Raw genomic sequence first — 15349 nt, 5'->3', positions numbered from 1 at the left:
TACTGTCATAGATTGTGACTATGAAGTAATCCATTAGAATCTTCAGACAAGGAATGCTGGGAGTGGTGGCTCATGCCTGTAATCCCAGCACTTTGGGAGGTGGAGGCAGGATGGATCACTTGAGGTCAGGAGTTCGAGACCAACGTGGTGAAACCCATCTCTACTAAAAATACAAAAATGAGCTGGGTGTGATGGCACGTGACTGCAGTCCCAGCTACTAGGGAGGCTGAGGCAGGAGAATCTCTTGACCCCAGAAGGCAGAGGTTGCAGTGAGCAGAGATCATAGAGATCATGCCACTGTACTCCAGCCTGGGCAACAAAGGGAAACTTCATCTCAAAAAAAAAAAAAAAAAAAAAAAGAATCTTCAGACAAGGAAACCATGCTCTTTGACCTAGTAATCTCCCTTCCCCACCCAATGCCAAGAAAGCTCTAATGCACCAAGATTTTAGTTATGGTGTTACTTGACAGCAAAAAGACAGATGACTCAAGCATCCAACAGTGGGAAAACAGCTAATTCTTTTTCAAATGATGCCTTCACAGTTTGAAATAAGTAGAATGCTTGTCTTAAAATGAAAAGCTTCAATATCAAATGTTGAACATTTATGAATAGAACCATAAAAATAATCATGGGGGAAAGCTGATGAGGAGCAGTTCATAGTGATTATCTTTAGTTGGTAGAATTTTGGGTGATTTTTTTTTCCATACCCACTCCTCCTCCCCAAATGTTCTGTAATGAATATATGTTTGGGTTTTTTTGTTTTTTTCCAAGACAGGGTCTCACTCTGTCACCCAGGCTGTAGTGCAGTGGCACAGTCACAGCTCACAGCAGTCTTGACCTCCGGGCTCAAGCAGTCCTGCCTCAGCTCCCCACATAGCTGGGACCACAGGCATGCATCACGATGCCCAGCTAATTTTTTGTTTGTTTGTAGAGATGGGGTCTCCCTGTGTTGCCCAGACTGGTCTCAAACTCCCGGGCTCATGTGATCCTCCTGCCTTGGCCTCCCAAAGTGCTGGGATTACAGGTGTGAGCCACTGCACCTGGCCTATGTTACTTTTTAAATAGGGAATAAAATAGCTGGTCACCCTGATGCTTCCAAAGGAATCATGCATTTGTTGAAGAGGGGAACAGTGCAATGCAAGATTTACGAAGACAGAGCTGATTACCTTCCCTCCCCAGTCCTCAGATACTGTCTTTCTCCTTGCCTTTACCAGGACGTACAAGTGCATCTGAGCATACGGAGGGTGTCTGTGTTGGCTTACCGAAAGGAGTCCTGTTACTCCTGCATTCCCATTCGATATGGCAGATTGTGCATAGATACCTCTGCAGACCAGTAGGCCTCTCCAATACTTTTCTTTCCCTCTTACTGCCTTTGGGCATGTGTGCACACCCAGGATTTTACCTAAGTGGAATCTGTACTTACTATGGTTTTGGTTTGTGTTAAGTCATATCCTTTGTTTTTTCAATTGTCTCTTTTGGCAGAACCATGTATGCTAGCATCCAGCTGCCTGGGCTCAATTCCTGCCTCTGCCTTTGGTAGCTGTGTGGCATTGGGAAAATGGCTGATCTTTTCTTTGCGCCAATTTCCTCCTTAAATATAAGTAATAATAGTACCTGTTTTATAAGCTTGTAAAGGATAAATGACTTAGTACCTGCAAATTACATGGACCAGTGCTTGGAGACGTAAGCACTTTGCCAACTTGCTGTCAGTGTGGTTGGTTATTTTCCCCCATCTCCCCAGTTTTGTTTTGTTTTGTTTTGTTATTTATTTATTTTTTTTTTTGAGACAAGATCTTGCTCTGTCGTCCAGGGTGAGTGCCAGCACAGCTTACTACAGCCTCGACGTCCTGGGCTCAAGCAGTCCTCCCACCTCAGCCTCCCAAATAGCTGAGACTGCAGGCATATGCCACCATGCCCAGCTAATCTTTAAACTTTTGGTAGAGGTCGGGTCTCACTATGTTGCCCAAGCTGGTGTCAAACTCCTGGCCTCAAGTGATCCTTCCACCTTGGCCTCCCAAAGTGCTGGGATTACAGGTGTGAGCCACCACGCTGGCCCTCCTCAGCTTTTTTTTTTTTTTTTAAATAACCATTATTATTCCATATTTTTTCTATGAAATCATTTATAAACATAAAATATCTTAAGTCTGTAATTCAGTTTATGATACATATTCAGTTATGATACATTCTTTGCATTTCACTGTTTCATGTTTCAGCCAAATCCCATCCCCCCAACCTTTTTTTTTTTTTTTTTGAGCCAGGGACTCTCTGTCGCCCAGACTGTAGTACAGTGGCATGATCTCGGCTCACCGCAGCCTCTTCCTATTAAAGTACTGGGATTATAGGTGTGAGCCACCGTGTCTGGCCCCTATCCCTCTATTAAGTGCCTTTCAGCAATTCTGTTTTTAGAGGAAAATTCCTTTTTGCTTCTGCTTGCTCCTTTTACCACCCCTGCCCATGAAAGGGGGAGTTACCTGTCCAGAGCAAGTATAGCTTTGGCCGTGATCTTCAAGGACTATTGCATTGGTGCTGACTGCTGGGGCCCCTTGGCCCCCAGGTTCCCACCAGTGGAGCAAACACGAAGGGTGCAGCCTAGTCGGAAGTGTTCCCAAGGACAACATCAGTGTGCAGACTTCCAGGGGAGGGGCATATGAAACTGAGCCAACAGAGGCCAAGATGAGAACCCTCCTGTGACATGGTCCCACCCATTAGGCCATTCCCTTGGTCAGCTGGATGGCAAATACTAGTAGTGTATGCTATGGAGCAGACATTTATTAAGTCCCTGCTGTGTGTCAAGGATTGAGCTAGGACTCTGCAGGAAATGCATGTGTAGTTCAGTCCTGGAAGCTGCCCAGCTTCCGCCTCCTGGAAGCATCCTTTTCTCCCCAGCTGCTCTCGCCTGCACATCTTACATTCTCTGGCTGGTCCTTCTGGGTGTGTTCAGCCACTTTGAGCTGTGCCTGCCTGATCTGCACACTTTGCAAATGTGTAGACTCAGAAAGAGAAACAGCCCAAACAGTGGCCAGAAACTGTTCTTGGAGGCTCTAGGTTGACAAAAGGGTCCTTTAATAGCTCCAGGTTGACCCCTCCCCTAGACACCTGTGCTCCCCCTGAGCCACACCGTGACTTCGGAAGTTCAACTGTCATCCAGTTTGGTCGGCTCTTTCACAAAATAATTTCACTGATTCTGTCAGGCATTTTCATTACTTTGATTTAAAGTTTTTGTGTCAACCTCTGGTACTTTAGAATCTCCAGATGTTGAAAAACAAAATCCCATTGGTAATGTTTGTTTTCCTTTACACTTATGAAAAAAGCAACTTTTATTCTCGCCTAAAATTTATTGTCGAGAGCACGTCTTTTAAAGTAAAAAAATGTTTGCAGCATGTCATACGGCTCTGAAATACTATGTAGGTCGCAGCTTGTTTTGAGGCATAAGTGACAAATATACTTGTGAGAGATGTTATTCTTACCCTATTAAAGAAATTAGAACATGGCTTTTGTGTCTCTGATACTGATTTTATATCTTCGCAACCGAATTTGTGAATCCCAGCTAGAGTAAAAGACACACGTGATGCATGAAGAAAGTGAAATGGTTCTGTTTGGTATTTATCTCATCTTGATCTTTGGCTTGGAAGAACTGATAATGAAACTCTCTTTGGGAGGACAGAGAGCTCTGGGGCATTCATCTCCCAACTAGGTCTCCGAATTTGGTGCAGTTCTTGAAGGCAGGTGGGTTTACACAGTGGTGAGAAGTGGGAAGTATGAAGGGTGTGATCTTCGCCCTCTTTTTGTATGCCCGTTAACAAAACTCAATTGTTAGGCGTTGAGTAGGGCTATTGATTTCTAGCCAACGGAAACACTTACTGTGTAATTTCCAGGAGAGAGACATTTTCAGGTGATGTGGACTCATTCCCTGCAGTTCAGAAGGTAATGAGCAATAGTGATCAATCCTGAGGTTATCCGGGGTGATTTCAGCTTGTCCATTGCATTGATTGATAAATGGCATGCTCTGAGGCTGATTGAGTGATGACCAGCAGCATCAAAGAAAACCCTCAGTTTGCATGGCGGGTATTAGAAGTGGCTGCCTTGATGCCTCCTGTCATCGTTTGAGTGGTAAAGAGACATTCTTTGTATGTTTATAACTCTTGATTTGGGGTCATGGTTATCATCTGTACTAACTGCACAGGTCATCCCGCTCCCATCCCTTTTTCATTCTTTAGAATCCCCCACAGCGGTCCACGCCCCTTGCCAACTTCCTTCCACTATCCTGGTTCTGTTGTTACTCCTGCCGACTGCAGTGCTGTTCCGTGAGCTTCTTGAATGACATCGTACAGTATCTCCGACGCACAGTACGTACCAGTTACAGTTGTCTTGACAGGATCTCCTGTGATCTTTTGTCCCTTTTCAGTTTAGCTCTTGGTGGCTCCATAGGCTCTCAAGCATCCTGGACAGTTCTCTGTGGGCTGGCGTCCTGGGTCAGATTCCAGGGCCGGATGTGAGCTGTGCCTTGACCATTTGAAGAGCTCACCGAAGGAGGTGGGAATGGACGGTGCAGGAAAGTAACTCAGGCACCCGAGGCTGCTGAGCCCAGAGAAGAAGCACCTGTCCTTGGAGTATTGTTCCAGGAAATGGGGAGGCAACCGGTTCCAGAGGGCAGAACTGGGTTGGGAGACAAGGAAGCACAGTTCTTGTAAATCAAGAAAATTTGTAAAGCCACATAAGCTGTCCACCAGTGAGAGAGAGCATGTACATGCTGTGAGCTGCAGTCAGGCCGCCTGGCCACAAGGCATGTTGTGGCATGCTGTGGGAGTCGGCGTTGAAGCATCCCAGAGACCTCTTGTGCTTAAACAAAGCTGAGTTATTCAGCACACTCCTAGATGTGGGGTCTGATTGTTGGTCAAACTGAAGGACTCGAGAAAATGAGGACTAAGTGGGGGGATGAGAGACATGTGAGTGGGTGTTGGGCCAGTAGAATGACAAAAGGAGCAGGCCCAGGCTCTTTGGAAGACAGACCTTTGCCCTTCAGGGGGACTGGGGGAGTGTTTCCTGGCAGGTGTGGACATTCGTCCTCATGGATGTCTTCTTTATAATAACCTGTGGAGGACGGCCCAGCGCATCATGCCACTGACCTTCACTGATGCTTCTGTACTTAAGAAGTAATGTCCCTTGGCTGGGCGCGGTGGCTCATGCTTGTAATCCCAGCACTTTGGGAGCTGGAGGTGGGCGAATCACCTGAGGTCAGGAGTTCAAGACCAGCCTGGGCAACATGGCGAAACCCCGTCTCTACTAAAAATACAAAAATTAACCGGGCATGGTGGCAGGCTATAATCCCAGGTACTCGGGAGGCTGAGGCGGGAGACTCGCTTGAACCCAGGAGTTGGAAGTTGCAGGGAGCTGAGATCACACCACTGCACTCTAGCCTGGGTGACAGAACGAGACTCTGTCTCAAAAAAAAAAAAAAAAAGAAAGAAATTGCCCAAATTTTCCTTTCAAGGTTGAAGTTAGGGCTGAAGAATCAGGGCTGGCTCATGATCTCTTCAGACTCAGTCATCCATCCATTCAGAGATCGTGTGTGTGGGCGCACGTGTGTGTCGTGGACTGTTCCTCAGGATCCGCAGGTGCAGTGGCCGCGCTCCCACTGAACTTGTGTTCTAGAGGCGGAGCCCCCTCCCTGAGGGCCTGGCTTTCTCAGTGTCAAGTGGAGAGCATGTTGTCTTAGTCTGCTTTGGCTACTATAACAAAATTCCATAAGCAGGTGGCTCATAGCAACAGAAATTTAATTCTCACAATTCTTGGGAAATCCAAGACCAAGATGCCAGCAGATTCGATGTCTGATGAGGGCCCAAGTTCTGGTTCAGAGACGGTACTCTCTCGCTATGTGGAAGGGTCAAATGAGATCTTCCTTTTTTTTTTTTTTTTTTTTTTTAAATAAAATTTTGCTCGATTGCCCAGGCTGGAGTGCAGTGGTGTGATCTCGGCTCACCGCAACCTCCACCTCCCAGGTTCAAGCGATTCTCCTGCCTCATCCTCCCAAGTAGCTGGGATTACAGCCGATTACCAGCACACTTGGCAAATTTTTGTATTTTCTCCTGCCTCAGTCTCCCGGGTAGCTGAGATTACAGGGATTGCTGGATCAAAGTTTACCACGCTCGACAAATTTTTGTATTTTTAGTAGAGATGAGGTTTCGCTGTGTTGGCCAGGCTGGTCTCGAACTCCTGACCTCAGGTGATCCACTTACCTCGGCCTCCCAAAGTGCTAGGATTACAGGCATTAGCCACCGAGCCTTGGCCAAAAGAGCTCTTTCATCAGGCACTAATCCCGTTCATGAGTGCTCCACCCTCATCATCTAATTACCACTCAAAGGCCTCACCCTCTAATACCACCACCTTGGGGATGAGGCTTTCAGCATAGGAATTTGCAGGGGGACACAAACATTAAGACCAGAGAGATACTTTGGACTGAGGGGACCCTTTGGTGAGAACACAGGGAGTGGTTCTCTGTGGGGAGGCTGAGATTGGCGTGGCAGGAGGAGGCCAGCCATGGGGCATCTGGGGAAAGGTCTGGAGGCCGAGGGGCTGTACCCAGGGCAGGAGCCAGTGCGGTTGTGGCCCTGTGAGGGCAGACCCGGATCTTGACCACGAAGGCACTGGGCGTTGCTGGAGAGCTTCCAGACACTGGGCTAGGATCACATTTCAGTTTCCAGTGAGAATCCTCCTGGGTGTCTCTGGAAAATGGCTTGGAAGGCATAAGAGCAGAAACAAGGGGATCATTTGAGTGAACTCATATAGTAGCAGAGCTGTGCATTGAGATTACCCACACCCCAGCTGCGAGAGTCCCTGTTAATGCAAGGTGGCCAGTTTAAAGCTGACAGGACTAGATTTCCCCATGGAGTGATTTGCTGAAGGCTTTGGGCTGGAAGTTCCAGCGCCCGCAGAAAACTTACTGTTGGAGGTTCTTCGCCCTCGTTTCTGAAGGAAAGCTCCCAGCTCTGCCTGGAGCCTGGGATGGAAATTGTCTCTGGTTAATAGGATCTTTAAGACAGCTAAATCCTGCACTAAAGACTTGATGCAACTGCTGTTGCACACGGAGGTGGCTCCCCTGCCATATGCCCGCAGAGCTTTCTTTCATTGTCATTACAGAGAGTCAGGCGTGTGTACAGGAAGGAGACGGGATCCTGCCGTAATGACTTTGTCTTCACCATCTTTTCTCAGCTGCTTAAATTGCTGTCAGGGCAGCGTAGGAATCTTAAAGGAGGGAGTTTTCTCTCATATAATTATGCTGTTGGTAAAAATGTTGGCGGCTTTTCTCTACTTTTCCCCTTAGCCACCAAAATAAAACTCTTTATCTTGGAACTCGGCAGCTGTTTGCAATCCGCCTCATTTCTCCTGCTGATGTATTGGTGTCGCAGCTTGGGTGATGGGTGGTGACGTGAGGGTTGAAGGTAATTTCTGTCGCAGTCCCATGGTCATGAGCCAAGACCTGGAGTGCTGGAGGTGCGCCAGGTCGGGTCATCTTTGGGTTTTGCCCAGTGAGCTGTTGCTAAGGAGAGGGCTTTGTTTGCCTAGAGCTGGGGGAAATGTTCAAGGGCAGGCACACATTGGCAGAGATCTGCTGACGTGGCGACGGCGGAACTCATGGCTGTGTGTCAAGCCTGGGCAGTAACAGGTGGCGAAGGCCAAACCTTTGGGGGCAGACTTGGGGCAGCAGTGGAGACGTGTTTTGGGGATCTCAAGGCGTCTTGGTGGGAAAGAGTGCCGGTGGGTCAGGAAGGCGGGGGTGCTGGGACACTGCTGCTGCTTGGGTGGGGTCAGGACCTGCTACACAGATACCAGACCCACCCTCTGCCAGGGGACACAGAACGGGCAAGGAGAAGGGCTGTGCTTCTGAGTGCTTCACTGGTCTGGAAACCCATGTTTTAACTGGGGCCACCCCCGGACCCCTGAGACTGAGGTGGTGTGAACCTCAGGGCTGGGGAGGTGGCTTCCAGGGGACCACCTCCTCACGCCCTCCCTTCCCAGAGAGGATGGGGAAGGTTTGGGCGGGAGCCTCCGGACTGGTAGGGACTCCACCTAGAGGCCAGCCCCTCCTGGGGTAGGCACAGAGGCCTCCAGAGCGCCTCCCTCTGAGTCACATTCCTTCTCATTTAGTCACCTTTCCTTCCACGGGGCTGCTGTTGGCTCGAAATAGAAGGATGACTGGACCGTTCTCCGTGCAGCTTCTTCCCTGAGATGTTCCCCAAGCCCCTCAAGGCATCCTTTGTGATGCACTTCTAAACAGCAGCCGGCTGGGCTCACAGTGGCTCACACCTGTAATCCCACGACTTTGGGAGGCCAAGGCAGGAGGATTGCTTGAGCTCAGAAGTTCAAGACCAGCATGGGCAACATACATAACATCTCTACAAAAAATAAAATAACATAGTGGGCTCTCTTCTCTACAAAAAATCAAAAAACGTAGCTGGGGCCAGGCGCCGTGGCTCACACCTGTAATCCTAGCACTTTGGGAGGCCAAGGCGGGCAGATCATTTGAGATTAGGAGTTCTAGACCAGCCTGGCCAACATAGTGAAACCCCATATCTACTAAAGAATACAAAAATCAGCTGGGCGTGGTGGCGCATGCCTCTAATCCCAGCTACTCGGGAAGCTGAGGCAGGAAAAATGCTTAAACCAGGGAACGGAGGTTGCAGTGAGCCCAGATCGCACCACTGCACTCCAGCTGGATGACAGAGCAAGACTCCGTCTCAAAAAAACAAAACAAAAAAAACTTTAGCTGGGTGTGATGGTGCGTGCCTACAGTCACAGCTACTTGAGAAGCTGACGTGGCAGGACGGCTGGAGTCCAGGAGGTCAAGACTGCACTCCAGCCTGGGAGGCAGAGTGAGATCCTGCCTTAAAACAAACAAACAAACAACAGCGAGTGTATCCTGGGTGCTTGTTCGGACTAAGGTGCAAACAGAGGGCTTTGCGTTATGGTCTTTGATCCTGGTGGCATTTTCATTAGACTAGATGGTCACGGTAATGTGGTATCTTTTCCTTTTTTGTAGACAGGCGACTGAGTCTCAGAGGGCGGTATCCTCGCCCAGGTCGGGGGTCTGCACATGGCTGTCAGTGTTGTGTCCTCGGACAGCCCTGTCCTGGGAACTCAGAGGCTCAGCAGTGGTGCCTGTGGAATGGGCCTCTGTTTTCACCGAGTAGTTGACCCCATCTGGCACGACAGGGAGACTCTTTTTTATCCAGAAGCCAAATCAAGAGAGGCTTTTCTGAGTGACTTGGCTGTGCTTTTTTCCAGCTTTGGAAAGTATGTTGAGAATGCGTGCTGGCCCTGGTGGTCTTACGTTGTTGGTGTCAGATGTAAACTTGCGACGTGAAGGCAGAATTTAAGTCTAGCTTTATTTAGTCCAACACGTGTTCTGCAGCAGCCGCTGGCTGCAGAGCCAAGGGGATAACCATCCCCTCCCAGTACTTGCAGTCTGGTGGGGACCAACCCCCCAGAGAGATGGACCCTGTGCTGGCTCAGAGAGAGAGGGCACTTAAATCTTGCTTGGTGTGCTCTGGGAAACCCTCTCCTGGAGCATTGGCTTCTGAGCTGAATTTTCTGGAGTAGAAGGTAATGCCGAGGCCTGCTGGACATATGTCCTGTGAAAATTCTCAGAAAGGCTGGGTGCAGGGGCTCACGCCTATAATCCCAGCACTTCAGGAGGCCGAGGCGAGCGGATCATTTGAGGTCTGGCATTCGAGACCACCCTGGCCAACATGGTGAAACCCCGTCTCTACCAAAAATACAAAAAGTTAGCCAGGTGTGGTGGCGTGCACCTGTGGTCGCAGCTACTCAGGAGGCTAAGGCACGAAAATCACTTGATCCCACGAGGCGGAGGTTGCAGTGAGCTGAGATCATGCCACTTCACTCTAGCCTGGGCGACAGAGCAAGACTGTTTCAAAAAAAAAAAAAAAAAAGAGGAAAGCTGGCAGAATGATCATGGATACAGTGTGCAAACGTGACTTGTGCAGCCACCATACTCTCCTCATGGGGGAGTAAAAATTAGCTGGAAATGATACCTGAGGCAAGAGGCCTATTAAATCTTATTAATAATTGATTTTAGTGGGAAGTACAAGTTCAGTACATAAAGCAGGAGCTTTTTGGGGAAGTTACTGAGTTTTTTGTCTTCTCCAGAGAGAGGCCAGAAGGGCAGCATCTCCAAGGTGAATCTGCCCATTGGCTGTAAGGAGCATGGACGAGGACTTAAGAGGCAGCCCATCTGGCCACATCTCCAAGGCGAGGCTGTCCACTGGCTGTAAGGAGCATGGATGGGGATTTTGAAGACAGTGTGTCCCGGAGCCGGCCTGCAGAGACAGGCTGCCTGGGGGGAGGAGGGCAGCCCCCAGCTCCGGCGTGGCCAGCCCTGACCTTGGGCCATCAGGGAGGGCACGCCAAGCTTTGTGACTTTCAGGTCTGTTCCCTTGCCCACGGGCTGGTTCTGGCTGGTTTCTGGACTGTACTGTGGCCGTGTGGAATTCTCTGGCACACAGCAGCAGGTACAGAGCCTGCCCCTGGGCAGCGCTGACCATGCTGGCCTGGGGTTTGGATACTTGAGCCTGGGTAGAGACAGGGTGGGTTCTCGGTGGCCACTTCCTCTGCAGCAGCCAACAGCAGAGACAGAAGGAGGCCTGGGACCTTGCCCTGCCTGACCCGCCTGTCTTTCCATCTGAAGCGCCCCTGACATGCTGTGACTCTTACTTTATTTTTGGTAGTTTACCTTAAAGAGTAATGAAATCACATTGCAAAAATTTGGGTTCTCTGGGAAAATATCAGTCAATCTTGATTCTAAAACTTGAACACAATCACTGTGGCCATTCATGTCTATTTTTTTTTTCCCTTTAACTTTTTCTTTTGACATAATTACAGACTTACAGAAGAGTTGTAAGAATGGAACAAAGAATTTCTAATTACCCTTTACCTAGCCTCTCCAAATGACATTTTACCACATTTGCTTGTGTTTCTCTCATATACAGAAACACACGCACAGAGTATATAATCTTCAGATCCCTCTGAGATATTTGCAAATATATAAGGCTAAAGTATTTAGGGATGGAGGAGTTAATTTTTCCTAAACACAGTGCCCATTCTTTCACATAAGACAAGTATCAAGGTCAGGAAATTAACATTGATAATCATATCTAATATTCAGATCTTACTGATTTTGCCAGTAGTCCCAATAAGATCCTTTATAGCAAAAGAAACTTCGGATTCTGCGTTGCCTCTGGTTTCCTTGTCTCTTTAGTCATCTTTAATCTGGAACCGTTTCTTGTCCTCCTTTGTACCATGACATTGATGTTTTTGAAGAGAGCAGATGAGTCATTTTGTAGAATGGCCCTCAGTTCAGTTTGTCCTGTGTTTTTTCCTGATTGGAGTTGGGCACTTTGGGCGGGAATGCTCAGGACCCACTGTTGTTGTCAGCACAGCGGATTAGGAGGGCACATCATGTGAATTTATCTTATTATTGGTGGGGTTAACTTTGATCACTTGGCTAAGATCGAGTCCGTCTTTCTCCACTGTAAAGCTATTATCTCAATCTCCTTTTTTTTTTTTTTAAGTCCTGTACATGATTTTGTGCATCGTAACATACCAGGTCTGGGTATGGGATGTGGGAGGCAGCGCTGTGCCCTTAATTTGTGGAGGTGACGCATGTGCAGTTGCCTCCACTGAACGTTAAAAGTGCACTCCTGTGACCCTGAGTTGAGTTCAGAGACTCCTATCAGGTCAGAAGAGCTCCTGCTGTTGACCTGCAGGGCACAGCTTGAGACCTAAGTCTGGCCCTTCCAGATGGGCCATGGCTAAGGTTCCCTCATTCAATAAATAATTGATGACTTCAGCTGCTGTATGCATGGATTTCTTGCGTGACTATTTTTCCCCCTTTTTAAATTTCTTATGTGCGTCTGGAGACCCTTTGGCAGTGGGGCCTGGAGCTCCTTTTAGAAAAGATCCACAGGAGATTGTGTTTCCAATGATGACAGCCAAGATGGCACAGGTGGCAGCCCTCCCATGCTAGGGGTGTTGTCAGGTCGACAGCGCTCAATCCCCATTGTTCCAGAACGGCCAGAGGACAGTGACCAGGGGCAGAGGAGAGTGCACTCTCATGGCCCAGCCCCTCACTTAGCCCACCTGCCCTGGGCTGGGTGCACTGGTGGCTACCACTGCTTGGTAAGAGGTACGGGTGACAGATGTCTTGGTTGACGGTGTGGGTGTGTGTTTTTTTTTTACCCCTAATCCAAGGAAACTGGGTGTATTTCTCTTTGTGAGTTTTGACTGCTGTTCCCCTAAGTCAAGTTATATGGAAGCATGATTTATCTTCTCCAAAAAATATGGGCCCCTCAGTGAAGTTAAACAGAGTATAAAATGCCTTCATGGTAGTTAAATTTATACTCTGTTAAAATGATTTGTGCACTTTGCAGTAAGCTGTGATATTAAGTGCATAAATATACAGCGGAGTTAACTTGGAGGAACGTTTTATTTGACAGGATCACTTAAATGCTCAGGTACAGTATCGAAACCATTTAGCATGGTTACCAGGAATGGAGGGTGAGCCGACTCTGTTTAAAATCTGCAGAAAACATTCAGAATCCAAAGGAAAGCTTGTAAGTAAGTACTTCTCCATGGAGTGCTTAATCGTGGAAGTGGTTTTCATCACAGGAGAGAGGATTGCAATTTCTAAATCAGTCTCCCTGCATCATGTGAGAAAATGCCTTGTAAATAAACTCTCCATTGGAATAGTCACTTGTCCTAAGCGTGGAACTGATTCTATTCAAATTAGCAACCATTATAGATATTTTGGTCTTCTATTGTCAATGACAATACATTTTCCTGTGGGAATAGGTTATTTAGTCCATATTGGGACATTACAGGAGAATTAATAATTAATGACATGCTAGTGCTCGGCCCACCCTTCTGTTTTTGTAGCCAAGGCTTGATTGGATTTTCTGTATGTATAATGGGCTGTTTCAAAATGGTCTTGCCTCATTGTTTCTTCATATCTTATTGAAACCAACCCACTGTTGATCTCAATCTGTGTAAGGAGAATGCGGAGTATGGCATTCGCAGGACTGAATCCCTAGATTTTAAGTTTGGAAGGAGATCCAACCGGGCAGATGAATTGACCGGTGGTGAATATTCTGTAGCATTTTCCTCCCTGGAGAGGAATGCCGCCACCGCTGGGAACCGTGGACTGGCATGTGAGCCAGTGGCTGTGAAAGGCGCTGTGCCCTGTGTCCTCCGTGTACTTTAGAGCAGGAGCGTCACACATGGTGGAGCCGGGTGATATCCCGGGCAGGCTCCCGAAAGCTCCTGGTGGCCCATCAGGGGCTGGTTTTTCCACCTTTTTTTTTTTTTTTTTTTTTTCCTCGAGACAAGGTCTCACTCTGTCACCCAGGCAGGAGTGCAGTGGCATGATCTTGACTCACTGCAACCTTTGCCTCCTGGGTTCAAGCAATTCTCGTTCCTTAGCCTCCCGAGTAGCTGGCATTACAGGCACTCGTCACCATGCCCGGCTCGTTTTTTTTTTTTTGTATTTTTAGTAGAGACAGGGTTTCACCATGTTGGCCAGGCTGGTCTTGAACTCCTGACCCCAAAATGATCTGCCCGCCTCAGCCTCCCAGAATGCTGGGATTACAAGCACGAGCCACCGTGCCAGGCCTGGTTATTCCAAATTTTTTGATTGGTCTAAAATTTGTAATGAATGGTAGGAAAACACAGCAGGAAAAAGAAAGAACATTATTATTGGTAAGGGTCAGATTAAGCCCTGGGTGAGAGTCATGAGTCCCTAGAGGTATCTGAAGAAGTCCTCCTGGCTTTGGCCATCTCTACAGGATCCGGTGATTGCTCCGCCTCCAGAGCTGTCCCCAACCATCGCAGCTTGGCTTGTCTGTGACCTCGTGTCAACTCAAAACAGCACTTTCCCCCCGACACTTTGAAGTCAACCCTGGTAGAATTTGTGAGGAAATGGCCAGTGTGTGTTGGGTTTAAAAAAAAAAAAAGGCTGTGGAAGTAGAACAATCTTGGGGTTGCCACAGAACAGGCAGTTTGAGGTGACGAAGTGGCTTTGTAATCAATAATAATTGATAAGACCTTGTTTCTAGCAGGCTGTAGACAAAAATAATCTTCTTGGACCTATCTTCGCCTAGGAAATATGTCCTAGAACCTCCCTCCTCTGTTGATCTCAACGCCCAAGCCCATCCTCCCATGAGAAAGGTTTTTTTTTTTTTTTTTTTTTGAGACGGAGTCTCGCTCTGTCGCCCAGGCTGGAGTGCAGAGGCGCGATCTCGGCTCACTACAAGCTCCGCCTGCCAGGTTCATGCCATTCTCCTGCCTCAGCCTCCAGAGTAACTGGGACTACAGGCGCCTGCCACCATGCCTGGCTAATTTTTTGTATTTTTAGTAGAGACGGGGTTTCACCGTGTTAGCCAGGATGGTGTCGATCTCCTGACCTCGTGATCTGCCCGTCTTGGCCTCCCAAAGTGCTGGGATTACAGGCGTGAGCCACCGCGCCCGGCCTGAGAAAGGTTCTTATGGGAATTGTGATGAAGGGGTCAGAGCAGCCCCCACCTCCCCCCATCAGCACCACCCAGGGCTGAATCTGAAGTCAGACTTGGCTGCTTAAGCCACAACCTAAGATAACTTTGAATACCAGGTGCTGAAATCACAGAACAGACTCCAAATGGTGGCCCCGTTTGGACTAAATGAGAGGTGAGCTGAGGTTGAACACGGGAGGCAGAGGGCCAGGGGTCCCGTGGGCATCAGCTGGGGTGGGCATCACCACGGTGCCCCCAGCTTTTTCATGGGTGATTTCTTCAGCTGACCTGGGTTTTCAGGGTTCTTTTAGGCAGGCTCCCAGTTGTTTGTGTCAGAGAGCCCTTTTTGTTGGTAATCCCAAGCCCAGAACTTTCCAGAATGTGCTGTTGGATGTGGCTTTATTCTTTGATCCCTTCAAAAAATGAACCACACCGATTACTATTGGCTGCCAGGCCTGGTGAGGGGGTGAGTGAGCCCTTTCTGCGAGCCCGGGGAGTTTGGAGCCAGATGGGGGTTCTTCCTTCCCCGTCTCCAGTCCTGTTGCTCTAAGAACACAGATAAGGGAGTCACTCCATCCCCAACAGGTGCCGCCTTATCCCTGCTGATGTCAGAAACCAACTCTGCAGAAACCAACTCTTCCCCAGCTCACACATGCTGGAAACGCTGAATGTGTCTTATACCCTGCATCTCATTACATGTGTCTTGAAAATGTGGCTTTTCTTTATGTATATAAACCTACATTCACAGCTCTGCACAATCAGTGGCTTGTTTTCCGCTTACAATAGCGACATTTT

At 48.3% G+C, this 15349-nt stretch overlaps 1 protein-coding gene across 26 annotated transcripts in view, besides 5 other annotated features; it reads left to right on the top strand.

Annotated features, from left to right (window-relative positions):
- Window positions 1-15349, top strand: part of CTBP2 (C-terminal binding protein 2) — a 178147-nt gene that overhangs the window by 69928 nt on the left and 92870 nt on the right. For 11 of the 26 annotated variants that reach the window (XM_047424671.1, XM_047424675.1, XM_047424672.1 and 8 more), the window contains one exon: window positions 4217-4345. The exons of the other annotated variants lie outside the window; for them this stretch is intronic. The gene's annotated coding sequence lies outside the window, so the exon portion shown is untranslated. The remainder of the gene's footprint in view (window positions 1-4216; window positions 4346-15349) is intronic. 26 annotated transcript variants of the gene reach the window in all.
- Window positions 4362-5188: an enhancer, noted in NCBI's record as "H3K27ac-H3K4me1 hESC enhancer chr10:126775917-126776743 (GRCh37/hg19 assembly coordinates)". NCBI's record gives its function as "activates a minimal SCP1, AML or CMV promoter by ChIP-STARR-seq in primed H9 embryonic stem cells {active_cell/tissue: H9 hESC(primed)}" and the evidence as "EXISTENCE:reporter gene assay evidence [ECO:0000049][PMID:30033119]".
- Window positions 6845-7672: an enhancer, noted in NCBI's record as "H3K27ac-H3K4me1 hESC enhancer chr10:126773433-126774260 (GRCh37/hg19 assembly coordinates)". NCBI's record gives its function as "activates a minimal SCP1, AML or CMV promoter by ChIP-STARR-seq in naive H9 embryonic stem cells {active_cell/tissue: H9 hESC(naive)}" and the evidence as "EXISTENCE:reporter gene assay evidence [ECO:0000049][PMID:30033119]".
- Window positions 9329-10156: an enhancer, noted in NCBI's record as "H3K27ac-H3K4me1 hESC enhancer chr10:126770949-126771776 (GRCh37/hg19 assembly coordinates)". NCBI's record gives its function as "activates a minimal SCP1, AML or CMV promoter by ChIP-STARR-seq in primed H9 embryonic stem cells {active_cell/tissue: H9 hESC(primed)}" and the evidence as "EXISTENCE:reporter gene assay evidence [ECO:0000049][PMID:30033119]".
- Window positions 10157-10985: an enhancer, noted in NCBI's record as "H3K4me1 hESC enhancer chr10:126770120-126770948 (GRCh37/hg19 assembly coordinates)". NCBI's record gives its function as "activates a minimal SCP1, AML or CMV promoter by ChIP-STARR-seq in primed H9 embryonic stem cells {active_cell/tissue: H9 hESC(primed)}" and the evidence as "EXISTENCE:reporter gene assay evidence [ECO:0000049][PMID:30033119]".
- Window positions 13269-13770: an enhancer, noted in NCBI's record as "H3K4me1 hESC enhancer chr10:126767335-126767836 (GRCh37/hg19 assembly coordinates)". NCBI's record gives its function as "activates a minimal SCP1, AML or CMV promoter by ChIP-STARR-seq in naive H9 embryonic stem cells {active_cell/tissue: H9 hESC(naive)}" and the evidence as "EXISTENCE:reporter gene assay evidence [ECO:0000049][PMID:30033119]".

The sequence above is a fragment of the Homo sapiens genome, chromosome 10, assembly GCF_000001405.40.
Source record: "Homo sapiens chromosome 10, GRCh38.p14 Primary Assembly".
Lineage (NCBI taxonomy): Eukaryota > Metazoa > Chordata > Mammalia > Primates > Hominidae > Homo > Homo sapiens.
This window is presented reverse-complemented; position numbering and strand designations above follow the sequence as displayed.